The 15,602-nt window shown below is 41.7% G+C and overlaps 1 protein-coding gene across 13 annotated transcripts in view; it reads right to left on the bottom strand.

Annotated features, from left to right (window-relative positions):
- The window catches only part of MINDY2 (MINDY lysine 48 deubiquitinase 2), a 90,599-nt gene that overhangs the window by 58,004 nt on the left and 16,993 nt on the right, over positions 1 to 15,602 (bottom strand). For all 13 annotated transcript variants that reach the window (XM_011521687.3, XM_011521688.3, XM_017022332.3 and 10 more), the window contains exon 3: positions 1,520 to 1,584. In XM_011521687.3, the coding sequence (XP_011519989.1) occupies positions 1,520 to 1,584 (65 nt within the window). The remainder of the gene's footprint in view (positions 1 to 1,519; positions 1,585 to 15,602) is intronic.

The following is a 15,602-nucleotide window of genomic DNA, read 5'->3' as shown; positions in this document are numbered from 1 at the left end:
GACCTCGTGATCCGCCTGCCTTGGCCTACCAAAGTGCTGGAATTACAGGCGTGAGCCACCACGCCCGGCCTCTTATTTTTTGAGGCAGAGTCTCCCTCTGCTGCCCAGGACGGAGTGTAGTGACGCAATCTCGGCTCACTGCAACCTCCGCCTCCCTGGTTCAAGCAATTCTCATGCCTCAACCTCCTGAATAGCTGGGACTACAGGTACATGCTATTACACTCGGCCAATTTTTGTATTTTTAGTAGAGGTGGGGTTTTTCCATGTTGAACAGCTGGTCTCGAACTCCTGGCCTCAAGTGACCCATCCACCTTGGCCTCCCAAAGTGCTGGGATTATAGGCAGGAGTCACCGCATCTGGCCTAGATTTCCTATCTTATGATATAATGCAATGTAAGTTGTTGATTCTTCTTCTTTTTTTTTTTTTTTATGAGACAGAGTCTTGCTCTGTCACCAGCCTGGATCATAGTGGCGCGATTCCAGCTCACTGCAACTTCCGCCTCCTGGGATCAAGTGATTCTCCTGCCTCAGCCTCACGACTAGCTGGGACTACAGGCGCGCATCACCATGCCCAGCTAATTTTTTTTGTATTTTTAGTAGAAATGGGGTTTCACCATGTTGACAAGGATGGTCTCCATCTCCTGACTTCGTGATCTGCCCACCTCGGCCTCCCAAAGTGCTGGGATTACAGGCTTGAGCCACCACGCCCAGCCAACTTGTTGATTTTTCAAATTTTATTAAGACTAGATTATCTGAACATTAAATTCAAGAAATTTTGCAAGACAAATGAGTTATGCTTTCTTTTTGCAAATTTGATACTGGTGAAAGTATGTTAAAAAAGGTTGCTTTGAAAGTAAATATGAAGGTTCCAACGATGTCTCTTTCTTCCCTGGCTAATACTTCCTTCCACTCTAAGAAGCCAATTCCTTCTTGCCTTCTATTACCAAGTAAAGGAAGAATACTGAAGAAAATGAAGCTCCGCTTGCTTTTTTCCAGCACCAATAATTTTAAGCCTAGTGATACCTCCTACATTGCAGAACAGGATCTCTAAAGAACATGCCAAGAAATGTGGATACTGAAACTATCAAATAGCAAAACTTGTCCTAATGACATACCATATACATCATTTGTTCAACTTTCTCCTGAACATAACTTAATTGTAAAATATAAATAAAATGAGGACAGATACATCAATGACAAATTGACCTGGAAGTCAATTTTTCAAGAAAAACACTAGGTTTGATCTCTCATGGAATGAGAAAAAAAAGGAAAAATACTGAGAAAAAAATGAGAAAAAAAGGAAAAATCTGGCTGTGAGCTAAAAATGGATTTCATATTTTTAAAGAGGCATAAAAAAAGAAAACAAAGAATATGTAATAGAGACTGACCACATGTGGCTTGCAAAGTCTAAAGTGTTTACTATCTAATCCTTTATAGAAAAATGCTGCCAGCTACTAATAGAAACCAATGTATATATTTAAACTTTAAAATTATATACTTTAACAAAAACTGTTTATTACCTGTTCATAATTTAAACGTTGAATTTCTGAAATTTCTTTTGGCTTTGCATCAAGCATGTAATCTCCTGTAAAAAAAAAAAAAGAATTGTAAAATTGCCTTTTAAAAACTTGTTTTTCTGATTACAAAAGTAATAGATCTTAATTATAAATGTTAAAACACTGTAGCTATAGTTGACATATAAAATTGACTCCCCAATCCTACCCAGAGAAAATCAATGTTAACTTTTCCTATCACGTCAAATATTTTTTCAATGTATATACTATAGTGCTTTGAACTTTTTACTTCCATTTTATATTTCAGCATCATTCCATGTTATTATGTATAAAGGTCCCAAAGGTTATAACAAATTTCACTGCTGTCAACAATATAACTATTTCTGATTACCTCACCAACAATGGGTATTATCAGTCTTCTAAATGTCTGCAACACTGAGAAGTAAAAAAAAGAAGTTTGGCATCTGGCTGGGTTTGGTGGCTCACGCCTGTGATCCCAGCACTTTGGGAGGCTGAGGTGGGTGGATCATCTGAGGTCAGGAGTTCAGCCTGGCCAACTCTACTAAAAATACAAAAATTAGCCGGGCATGGTGGCGGGTGCCTGTAATCCCAGCTACTTGGGAGGCTGAGGCAGAAGAATCGCTTGAACCTGGGAGGTGGAGGCTGCAGTGAGCCGAGATCGCGCCACTGCACTCCAGCCTGGGCAACAAAGTGAGACTCTGCCTCAAAAAAAATTTCTTTTCTTTTCATTTAAAAAGATGGTATTTTTATATACGAGTTTTTATTTGGTATCACCTTTTAAATATATGTATAACCTTTTGGTATATGTGGCAACTTTTAAATATATGTAGTACCTTTTAAAAATATGGATCACAATTTTAATACTTTTAAATCTACGTATTATCTTTCAAATTATGTATTAACTGTATGTACATACTTTTTTCTTTGAATTTTCTACCTATATAATTATCATCTTTTTTTTTTTTTTTTTTTTTTTTTTTTTAAGAGATGGGGTCTTGCCATGTTGCAGCCTCCCAAAGTGTTGGGATCACAGGCATGAGCCACCGTTCCTGGCCTATCTTTTCTTATTGAACTGTAAAAGCTAAACTGGGCTGGGCATGATGGCTCATGCCTATAATCCCAGCACATTGGGAGGCCGAGGAGGGTGGATCACCTGAGGTTAGGAGTTTAAGACCAGCCTGGCCAACATGGTGAAATCCTGTTTCTAGTAAAAATACAAAAATTAGCCAGGCGTAGTGGCATGCACCTGTAGTCCCAACTACTCAGGAGGCTGAGGCAGGAGAATTGCTTCAACCCAGGAGGTGGAGGTTGCAGTGAGCCAAGATCACGCCACTGTACTCCAGCCTGGGTGATGCAGCGAGACTCTGTCTCAAAAACAAAAACAAATTTTATTTTTAAAAAATCTTGTCAACTGGTTAATCTGTCTCTACCCTTCCAGACAACTAGTTAACTGATTTTTTGTGAGAGCTAGACTTAGTGATGTAACTGAGATGGCACATTTTAGAAGACTTTTTTTTTTTTTTTTTTTGAGACAGAGTCTTACTCTGTTGCCCAGGCTGGAGTGCAGTGGCGTGATCACGACTTGCTGCAACCTCAACCTCCCTAGACTCAGGTGATCCTCCCACCTCAGCTTCCTGAGTAGCTGGGACTAAAGACACGCACCACCACACCTGGCTAATCGTTTCAAAAAAAAAAAAAAGCTAAACTGGATGCAGAAAAATGAGCAAAACTTGGAATGGCAATGGGAGAAAAAGCATCTTTTGAGGGGAAGAATGAATGGAGAAAGCACATATAAGAAAGATCATGTCACACGAACAGCTTATACAAAGAGTTAATACAAAAGATTTATATTGTAAAGTAGTGGCAAACATGGTTGAATGAGTAAACTTGAACAGATTTTAGAAAATCCTAAATAATATGCTGATAAGTTTGGCTGACTATAAAAGATCACAGGGATCTTTATACTTTTAAGTAGAGGAGTGAAGAATGAAATTGATGCTTTAGGAAAAGTACACTGATATGTAGGCTAATTTAGGGACAAAGAATGATACAGTTTGCAGGTAAATCAGGTTGTGAAATATGAGCATACAGAAAGAGAAAAAATTTCAAGGAAAGAATTAAGAAAACCTTGCTACTAATGGGATATTCTAAATAAACAGAAAACAAGAAACCAAAATTTGATAGCTACTTTAGGCCAAAAAAATGGAAGAGAGGGCTTGGCATAAGTTAGCTTATACCAGGTGAACATTTGGAAAAAAGGAAATACAGGCAACTCTGGGCGAAATTAAAATGCTTCAACATTGACCTCGCTTTATAGCGTATTTATATTCAAAAGATAAAATAATTTTTTAAAAGTAAGACAATGCCACCATCTCTATTATTTTTCTTAACTATGCGCCCCCGCCAGTCTCATCATCATACTAACAATTTTAGATGGCTGAAGTCACAATATACATTCCAGTTTATGTTGAGTTTCATATTCCTGCCCATTTCCTGCCTTCTCCCTACATCTCTTCCACACCTTACTTTATTACACTTCCTAACACTTCCTAGGTATCGTGTTTCTTTCTCTATGCCAAAGCCCTTCAAAAAGCCATGTCCATGTCTGGCTCTGCTCTCATATTCTAGTGACAGAAATTTCCAGATTGAAATTCACTTCTTCTCCTCTAACCTTTGCCAATCAAAATTCCCATTTCCTTGGGGTACTTCAGCTAGGTATTAGGAAAGCAATTAGTGGTTTCTCTTACAATCCCTCTACTAGTGTTTGCTTTTTTTTTTTTTTTTGAGATGGAGTCTCGCTCTGTCGCCCAGGCTGGAGTGCAGTGGTGCCATCTCGGCTCACTGCAAGCTCCGCCTCCCGGGTTCATGCCATTCTCCTGCCTCAGCCTCAGCCTCAGCCTCCCAAGTAGCTGGGACTACAGGCACCCGCCACCACGCCTGGCTAATTTTTTGTATTTTTAGTAAAGACAGGGTTTCACTGTGTTAGCCAGGATGGTCTCGATCTCCCGACCTCGTGATCCGCCTGCCTCGGCCTCCCAAAGTGCTGGGATTACAGGCGTGAGCCACCGCGCCCAGCCGTGTTTGCTTTTTAACTCAAAAACATCTCTTTTTTCTCCAGAGAAATGGAGTAATCTCAACAGAACATCTAAATAGCTTAGAAAATTGAACATTTGTTCTGGCACGACTGGCCCTGAATAAAGTTTACTTTTGGTGAGGCAGAGCCTTCAGAATTTCTTTGCCTACATCATTCTTGTTCACTTCTCCCCCACCTCCCATCAAAATATTACTTTTACATGTCCCTAGTAGCTAAGTCCTCTCACCAGTGATTCCCAAACCTCTTTAGCTACACCAGGTCTAGCTATTTCCTAATTTTTCCTTTTCCTTATTAAAATTATCTGTCCTATGTTCTGCTTCCTCAGGGCTTTGCTAGCTAAGAGTTAGATAAATTTAACATACCAAGATGTGTTAACTTTTTATTACTCTTTCCAAGAAAAATCCCATGCTGACATTTTCGTGGTTAGAGTATACTTACACAGCCCCACTAACTACATGTTGACACCTCCAAATAACTAGCTCACAATACATGCTCAGTGAATATTTACTGGATTGCTGGGCGTGGTGGCTGACGTCTGTAATCCCAGCACTTTGGGAGGCCAAGGCGGGCGGATCACCTGAAGTCAGGAGTTTGAATCCAGCCTGGCCAAGATGATGAAACCCCATCTCTACTAAAAATACAAAAATTAGCTGGGTGTGGTGGCAGGCGCTTGTAATCCCAGCTACTTGGGAGTCTGAGGTGAGATAATCGCTTGAACCCAGGAGGCAGAGGTTGCAGTGAGCCAAGATTGTGCCATTGCACTATAGGCTGGGTGACAAGAGTGAAACTCTGTCTCAAAAAAAAAAAAAATTTTTTTTTACTGCATTAAAAAAGGCAAGAAAAGGTCTGGGTGTGGTGGCTCACGCCTGTAGTCCCAGCACTTTGAGAGTGTAAGGTGGGTGGATCACGAGGTCAGGAGTTCGAGATCAGCCTGGCCAACATAGACAAATCCCATCTCTACTAAAAAAAAAAAAAAATACAAAAATTAGCTGGGCATGGTGGCGGGCGCCTGTAATCCCAGCTGCTCGGGTAGCTGAGGCAGGAGAATTGCTTGAGCTTTGGAAGCGGAGGTTGCAATGAGCCAAGATCGCACCATTATACTCCAGCCTGGGCGAAAGAGCAAGACTCCATCTCGGGAAGAAAAAAAGAAAAGAAAGAAAAACACAAGTAGAGGAACTTTCAAATATTACATCAAAAACACTTTGGGATTGTAGAGGTGTAAGAGGGATGTATTTTTGAGCATATGAGCTTTTCAGCATACTTTAAATCATAGAAGGTGCCCAGATGGAGACAGCACATTAACCCCTCTGAACATTGGTTTCCTCTTCTGTAAAACAGAGGCATTACAATTTTGTGATGGCTTTATTTTTGCACCAATCTCATCCTTTGTACTATTAGTACTTCTGCACTTATGGCTCTGCTCATCGGTTCTCTGCCACCACAACTGTATCTCTTCATTTGCAGAACTCATGGCAAAAGAGCTCATTTTGTCTCAGAAGGTATGCAGACAAAGTCAAGTAGAGTGCTAGTGATAACGAGCAGGGAAGAGGTTAGGTAAATGGTATCAACTTGTTATAGCACAGAAAGTAGAGCCAGAATGAAGATAAGAGCTATGGAGTGGCAGCACAGTTTAACACTGTCCAGTTGAAATATAATGCAAGCCACGAATTTGAGCTCAAATGTAATTTTAAATTTTCTAGCAGCCACATTAATAAAGGTCAAAATAAACAGGTAAAATTAATCTTTTTTGTTTGTTTGTTTGAGATAGGGTCTCACTTTGTCACCCAGGCTGGAGTACAGTGGCACAAACATGGCTCACTGCAGCCTTGAACTTCCAGGCTCAAGTGATCCTGCTGCCTTAACCTCCTGAGCAGCAGGGACTACTGGTAAGCATCATCACACATGGCTAATTTTTTAAATTTTTTGTAAAGATAGGGTTTTGCCATGTTGCCCAGCCTGGTCTTGAACTCCTGAGCTCAAGTGATCTGCCTGCCTCAGTCTCGCGAAGTGCTGGGATAAAAGGCATGAGCCATCACACCTGGCAAAATTAATCTTAATAATATATTTTATTTAACTTAGTACATGAACATTTCAACAATCAATATTTTTAAATTACTGATATTCTTTTTTAACCAAATCTTTGAAATCCAGTGTATATTTTACATTTACAGAACATCTCAATTCACACTGGCCACATTTCAAGGACTCAATAACCACATGTACCTAGTGGCTACTATATTCTTCAGTGCAGGTTTAGGTGATATATGGCAATGATCTAAGAAAGAATAGTAAATGAGTCCAATTTGACTCAATCTGCCTTACACAATTCCATCTGAGAACAAGGAAAGTAGGGTGGAGAGTGGATGGATATGGAAGAGCTGGATAGGAAACAGGGTCAGAAATACATGTAACTCATTACTTAAATTATATATAGTTATATATAAATGGCCAGGTGCAGTGGCTAATGCCTATAATCCCAGCACTTCCGGAGGCCAAGGCAGGTGGATCACTTGAGGTCAGGAATTCAAGACCAGCCCGGCCAACATGGGGAAACCCCATCTCTACGAAAAATACAAAAATTAGCTGGGCATGGTGGCGGTGCCTATAATCCCAGCTACTCAGGAGGCTGAGGCAAGAGAATTGCTTGAACCTGGGAGGCAGAGGTTGCAGTGAGCAAGATCGTGCCACTGCACTCCAGCTTGGGCAACAGAGAGAGACCCAGTTTCAAAAAACAAAACAAAATGAAACTACATTTAACTTGTTATTATCCCATTTAGGAAACTAAAATAGATTAAGCATCCTATTACAGTAAATTCAAACTTCCTGCCTGGCTCACAAGACTGTCTTGCCACAATCTACTTAATCCAATCTCTATTTCTCTAACTATACAACATGCAGATTTACCAACTATAGTCAAATTAGACACATACACTGTTCCTTCAATATGCCTTACATATTTCCACCTCTAGCTTGAGCTTAAGATAGTTTCCAACTAACCCTCAAACAACCTTTCCTATTCTTTACAACAGCATAGATTCTAACTATGCTTCAAAGCCGGATACAAGTCACATGTTCTCCATTAAGCCTTTTCCTACTCCTTACCCACTTCCCATACCCATTTGTACCCAAACTTCTCAAAAGTTTTCTGCCCTTGAGGCTCCATTTCCTTGCCTCCCAGATACTCTTCAACTCACCACTCCATTTCCATCTCATCACTGCAGTGACACGGTTTGATGAAGGTCACAATAACCACACTGCCAAGTCATAAAGAGAGTATTCTCCAGTATTCAATACCCTTTCTCCTTTCTTCTAACAATCTTCACCCTCTCTTGACTTCATTCTACCACTCTGTACTGGCCTTTCTCCTATCTTACCAGCTACTTCTTCACTATTTCTCTGTCCTCTACTTCATGCATTTTAGCAGAGGTAATGTTGCACTTAAAAGGGGCAAAAACTGGTTCTTGGTGCAGGAGGGAGGGTGGCCAAAAAAAAGAAAAAAAAAACTTAGACACTATAATGGTTTATAGCCTTCAAAGGGCCACAGTACAAAAAAACACATACGATAGGCTGGGCGCAGTGGCTCACGCCTGTAATCCCGGCACTTTGGGAGGCCGAGACGGGTGGATCACGAGGTCAGGAGATCGAGACCATCCTGGCTAACACGGTGAAACCCTGTCTCTACTAAAAATACAAAAAATTAGCTGGGCGTGGTGGCAGGCGCCTGTAGTCCCAGCTACTCAGGAGGCTGAGGCAGGAGAACGGCGTGAACCCGAAGGTGGAGCTTGCAGTGAGCTGAGATCGCGCCACTGCACTCCAGCCTGGGCAACAGAGCAAGACTCCGTCTCAAAAAACAAAACAAAACAAAATAACACATACTATATATCTACAGTATTAAAATGTCCTGAAGTGAGCCATTAGGACAAAAGTGTCTATAAAGGCCCCTCAGAATGGCAATAACGAAAAGAAAGTTGAAACACTGCTCCACCTAATCTCTGCATGCTGGGAAACTTCAAGGGAGAATCTTGGACCCCTCTTCTTTTCTCTATTATCTTATCAACTTCCACAGATTTATTTATTTATTTATTTATTTTTTGGAGACGAGTCTCGCTCTGGTGCCCAGGCTGGAGTGCAGTAGCGCGATCTCGGTACACTGCAAGCTCCGCCTCCCAGGTTCACGCTATTCTCCTGCCTCCGCCTCCCGAGCAGCTGGGACTACAGGCGCCCGCCACCACGCCCGGCTAATTTTTTTGTATTTTTAGTAGAGACGGGGTTTCACCGTGGTCTCGATCTCCTGACCTCGTGATCAGCCCACCTCGGCCTCCCAAAGTACTGAGATTACAGCCGTGAGCCACTGCGCCCGGCCCAACTTCCACAGATTTAAATACCATTTTTATACTGATGACTTCTAAATTCTTATCTTGAATTTCAGTGTTCTCTGTAACTCATAGTCTGCCATTAGCAAATTCCCTAGGTATTCAACTCCTCTGAATGTTCCCTTCACCTTATTATCTGAGTATTTGGCTCTGTCTTGACGACAATGCAGTTCTCTTAAGTGATAGTTCTGTTCTCTCTCATACTTCTTTTACCAGTGAACCTCAAAGTGGAATAGGTATCCACTTGCTCCTGTCATTCTCTCCCCACTTCCTCCCTAAACTCCTCAGTTTTAAAACTCAGATAATTCTACCCATTATCTACCCACCTTGTTGCAGTTATCTCCTGACCTTCAGGCCAATCCCCTTTATTCTTAGCTCACTTTCTCCAACAAAAATCCCATAATTTTTGGTAATTTCAATATGTATGGAGATGTCTCTTCCAATACCCTGCCTGTCTGTTCCTTGACCTCTTCTCCAACAAAAATATTTTATTCTTAAAACACACACACACACACACACACACACACACACACACACCCCAAAAAAAACTTTTATTCTACTTTATCTCAGAAACTCATTTCCCATGGTAATACAGTTTCATTATTACCAAAAATTCCTCAGCTCTATCAGGAATCAAGACCTACAATCCATTAATCTCATTACATTTTCCTTCAACACACTTACATCATTTCCTCTTTACGCAGCTTAAATTCTATGGCCCATAATTATAATCACTCTCTATACACACCTTCATACCTTAGATTCCTCCCCTCCTCCCCCACCGCACAACCCTGGCCCCACCACTGGCAACATGTAGAGCAACATACCCTAGATTCTTTCGTCAACACGCTCATCAGGCAAAAGTCCAGCTCTGGTTAAATCCTGGCCTCCCATTATTCAGGCCTGGACTCGTGCAGCTGAACGTGACTGAGAAAACATAACACCATGCTGGCTGGTTTCACTAACCTCAAAGGTAACACCCAAAAATCATACCACAGCTCTCTAATCCATTCAATCTCCCATTTCTCTAACCAATTATTTTATACCTTCCCTCTTACTTTCAACAACTCCTCCCCTCATCCTCACTCCCAGCTGATGACTTTGTTTCCTATTTCATTGAGAAAATAGAAGCACTCAAGAGACGCGCTGCAACCACATCCACCCACCTACCTGCACCTATTTGTAATACAGTCTGTCTTTCCTCCTATTACCATGGATGAACTATCTAAGGCTAATTTTTCTATTTGTATAAAGTATTTTTTGCAGTTCCCTTTCTCTAGTTTTCTCTTTTATAAAATGGCTTTGAGGTATAATCCACATACGATACAAGCTACTCACTTAAAATGTACAATTCAATTATTTTTTGTTGTATATTCACAGGATTATGAAACTATCATCATAATCTAATTTTATTTTTTAAATTTATTTATTTATTTACTTATTTTTTGAGACAGTTTCTCACTGTCGCCCAGGCTGGAGTGCAGTGGTGTTATCTCCACTCACTGCAACCTCCGACTGCTGGGTTCAAGCGATTCTCCTCCTCAGTTTCCCAAGTAGCTGGGACTACAGGCATGTGCCACCACACCCGACTAATTTTTTGTATTTTTAGTAGAGACGGGGTTTTGCCATGTTGCCCAGGCTGGTCTTGAACTCCTGAGCTCCAGTGAACCACCCACCTCAAGCACCCAAAGTGCTGGGATTACGGCGTGAGCCACTGTGCCAGTCCCATGATCTAATTTTAGAACATTTTGGTCTTCCCTAAAAGAAACCCTGTACCCATTAGCAGTCAACCCCCATTTCACCCCATCTCTTCCCCAGCCCTAAGCAACCACTAATCTACTTTCTGTCTCTATAAATGTGCCTATTCTGGTTTTTTTAAACTTTCATTTTTTAGAGATAAGGTTCTTGCTCTCTCACCCAGGCTGGAATGCAGTGGTATGGTCATAGCTCATTGCAGTCTCAAACTCCTGGGTTCAAGTGATCCTCCCACCTCAGCCTCCCAAGTAGCTGGGACCATAGGCACGCACCACCAGCCTGGCTAATGGATGTTTCATATAGATGGAATCATACACTATATGGTCTTTTGTACTTTGCCTCTTTCACTTAAAAGTTTCAGGGTTCATCCATGTTATAGCATGTATTCGTACTTCATACCTTTTTATGGCTGAATAATATTCCACTGTACAAATCTATATTTATCTGCTCATCAGTTGATAAGACATTTCGGTTGTTTCCATTTTTTGACTACTATGAATAATACTGCTTTGAACATTTTTCTTTTTTTCCCCCTGAGACAGAGTCTTGCTCTGTCGCCCAGGCTGGAGTGCAATCGCATGATCTCGGCTCACTGCAACGTCCGCCTCCCGGGTTCAAGCGATTCTTCTGCCTCATCCTCCCGAGTAGCTGGAATTACAGGCATGTGCCACCACGCCCGGCTAATTTTTATGTTCTTAGTAGAGACGGGGTTTTACCATGTTGGCCAGGCTGGTCTCAAACTCTTGACATTGTGATCCACCTGCCTTGGCCTCCCAAAATGCTGGGATTACAGGCGTAAGCCACCGCGTGTGGCCTGAACATTTTTATACAAGCTGTATGGACATACGTTTTCACTTCTCTTGGGTAAATACCTAGGAATGATATTTCATGGTCATACGGTAATTCTGTTTAACTTTTTAAAGAATTGCCAAACTGCTTTCCAAAGTGGCTGTATTATTTTACATTTCTACTGGCTAGGTGTGAGGGTTTCCAGTTTTTTCTTGTTTCCAGTCAGGTTTTCATTCCATACACTCATCAAGGTTATCAATGACCTCCTTATGGCTAAATCAACAGTCAATTTTTAGTATTCCTCCTGCCTGAGCTATTAGCAGCATTTGATTCAGCTCATCTCTCACTCTTCCTTGAAACATTTCTTCATTACGATTCTAGGAAATCACAGCCTCCTATTTTTCTTCTACCTGGCTGACCGTGCCGGCTCTTTCTCCTTCCCCACCTTCTAATCACTGGCATATCCCAGACTCGGTCTACTGACCTTTTCTTTTATCTACTACATTCCTTCCCTTAATGATCTCACCCAATCTAACTACTGTTTATATATGTTGTCTGTAAATATATATTTACAGGCTAGACTTGTACTGTCTAATACAGTAGCCAGTAGCAATATGTGGCTATTAAATTTAATTTATATTATATAAAATTAAAAATTCAGTTCCTTGGTCACATTACACACACACACATACACACACACACACACACACACACACACACACACACACATATTTTGAGACAGGGTCTTGCCCTGTTGCCCAGGGTAGAGTGCAGTCTTGTGATCTTGGCTCACTGCAGCCTCTGGATCCCAGGCCCAAGCAATCCTCCCACCTGAGCGTCCCAAGTAGCTGGGACTACAGGTGCACACCATCACGCCTGGCTAATTTTTGAATTTTTAAGTGGAGATGGGGGTCTCACCATGTTGCCCAGGCTGGCCTCAAACTCCTGGGCTCAAGACAGGAGCTACATTTTAAGAGCTTGAGGACCGCATGTGGCTAGTGGCTACTAACCTGGACAGCACAGATACAGAACATTTCTATCATTACAGAAATTTTAATTGAAAGTGCTGATCCAGACCTCTCCTCTGAACTCAAGATATATATATATATATATATATATATATATATATATATATAAAATTGCTTTCCTGATGGCTCCCTTTTTTTTTTTTTGAGAAGGAGTCTCACTCTGTTGTCCAGGCTGGAGTGCAGTGGCGTGATCTCGGCTCACTGCAACCTCCGCCGCCTGGGTTCAAGCCATTCTCCTGCCTCAGCCTCCCGAGTAGTTGGGACTACACGTGCCCGCCACCACTCCCAGCTAATTTTTTGTATTTTTTAGTGGAGATGGGGTTTCACCGTGTTAGCCAGTATGGTCTCGATCTCCTGACCTCATGATCTGCCTGCCTCGGCCTCCCAAACTGCTGAGATTACAGGCGTGAGCCACCACACCCAGCCTGATCGCTCCATTTTGATGTAAATAAACATCTAAAAACAAAAATCCTGCAATTTCTCCCTAAAAGCCTTGCTCCATTTTTTCCTGCTTCAGTTTTCCTATTTCCATCCTTCTACTTGTTCAAACCAAAAATGAGATAGTCCTTGACTCCACTTTCACTCTATATCCAACTGATCAGCAAATTCTGTCAACTCTGTATCCAGTATCTAACCACTTCTTACAAACTTCACTTATTTTACCTTGTTTAAAGCCACCATCTTTTGCTAGTTGTAATAACTTCCTAAATAGTTTTCCCACTTGTCTTACCCCCCACTAAGGTCTATTGTCAACATAAATGCTAGAGAATTCTTATTAAATCCAAAGTTAGATCATGTCAGTCCTCTGTTCAAAATCCTCCAACAGCTTCCCAGCTTACTCATGGCAAAAACCAAAATTGCTGTTACATCTTTAGGGCCCCATATGACCTGACTGCATCAACTCTCTGATCTCATCTCCTACAACTCCCCTTTGTGTACTCCTTGACAGTCATATTGGCTATTCCTCAAAATCACCCAGCATATTTCAGCCTTCCCCATAAAATATAACTTAGGAATCACTAACTTTAAGAATCATTTATCAAGTAGAGTCCCATGGGGAAAAAAAAACTTAAAATAATAATAAAAATAAAAAGAATCACTAAGCTAGCCTAAAAGAGGGATTTTCTTTTTAAGGCGATTTGCAGACATCTAGGTATTCAGAGTAATCTACCCTTAACTATGAGGTCCCTAGCCAGTGAATGGGGATTAAATGATATGAATTATATTTTCTAAAAAGGGTCTTCCTGCCGGGTGCAGTGGCTCATGCCTGTAATCCCAGCACTTTGGGAGGCCAAGGTGGGAGGATCGCTTGAGCCCAGGAGTTCAAGACAAGCCTGGGAAACACAGTGAAACCCAATCTCTACAAAAATAAAACTTAACCAGGCACGGTGGCTCACGCCTGCAATCCCAGCACTTTGGGAGGCTCAGGTGGGCGGATCACCTGAGGTCAGGAGTTCAAGACAAGCCTGACCAACATGGAGAAACCCCATCTCTACTAAAAATACAAAATTAGCCACGTGTGGTGGTGCATGCCTGTAATCCCAGCTACTCGGGAGGCTGAGGCAGGAGAATCACTTGAACCCAGGAGGTGGAGGTTGCGGTGAGCTGAGATCACGCCATTGCACTCCAGCCTGAGAAACAAGAGTGAAACTCTGTCTCAAAAAACAAAAAAAACAAAAACAAACCAAAAACCCAAAAATTAGCTGGGTGTGGTAGCATGTGCGTGCAGTCCCAGTTACTCGGGAGGCTGAGGTGGGAGGATCACCTGAGCCTAGGGAGGTCGAGATTGCAGCAAGTCATGATCACGCCACTGCACTCCAGCCTGGGCAATAGAGTAAGACTCTGTCTCAAAAGAAAAAAAAAAAAATCTTCTAAAATTTCCTGTCTCAGTTATATCACTAAGTCTGTATCTCACAAAAAATGAGTGAACTAGTTGCCTGGAAGGGTAGAGACAAATTAACCAGTTGATAAGATTCTTTTGTTTTTGAGACGGAGTCTCGCTCTGTTGCCCAGGCTGGAGTGCAGTGGTGCAATCTCGGCTCACTGCAAGCTATGCCTCCTGGGTTCACACCATTCTCCTGCCTCAGCCTCCCGAGTAGCTGGGACATCAGGCGTCTGCCACCATGCCCAGCTAATTTTTTGTATTTTTTAGTCGAGACGGAGTTTCACCGTGTTAGCCAGGATGTTCTTGATCTCCTGACCTTGTGATCGGCCCGCCTCGGCCTCCCAAAGTGCTGGGATTACAGGCGTGAGCCACCGTGCCCGGCCCCAGTTGACAAGATTTTTTAAAAATAAAATATGTTTTTGTTTTTGAGACGGAGTCTCACTCCATCACCCAGGCTGGAGTGCAGTGGCATGATCTTGGCTCACTGTAACCTCCACCTCTTGAGTTCAAGCAATTCTCCCACCTCAGCCTCCCGAATAGTTGGGACTATAGGTGCATGACACCACGCCTGGCTAATTTTTGTATTTTTAGTAGACACACAGGGTTTCACCATGTTGGCCAGGCAGGTCTCAAATTATTGACCTCAAGTGATCTGCCTGCCTTGACCTCCCAAAGTGCTGGGATTACAGGCGTGAGCCACCACACCTGGCCTAAATAAAAATTTAATTACTGAAAAAACTGTAGAATATGGATTAAGATTTCCTATTTGGTGATAGTATAAATATATAAATTCTTATTTGTCAGATTATAAAAGGCCACAATGTGATGTACAACTGCTTGCTCTCTAAACAAGTTCAACTCAATGTAGCCAGTCTACAAACTGTACTACTGGTCTGTTTTGAAATAAGAAGCTTAGAGAAGAATGCAATTTAATACATTACTTCCTTCAACAAGAAAATTTCCCTATAAAAAAATTTCAGTTGAAATAAACAGTGTGCTTACTAATGTAAATATTTTACATCCTAGGAGAAGATTCTACCTCACTGTAGCCTGATAACTAACATTTTGTAGATTGGCATAGGTCCATGAATCACACTTTCGGTAGCACTGCTCTAAATCACCTCCTTTGTCTTTAATTCAAGTC

The sequence above is a fragment of the Homo sapiens genome, chromosome 15, assembly GCF_000001405.40.
Source record: "Homo sapiens chromosome 15, GRCh38.p14 Primary Assembly".
Classification (NCBI taxonomy): Eukaryota; Metazoa; Chordata; class Mammalia; order Primates; family Hominidae; genus Homo; species Homo sapiens.
The sequence above is the reverse complement of the archived record's forward strand: the minus strand, read 5'-3'. Positions and strand labels throughout refer to the sequence as shown.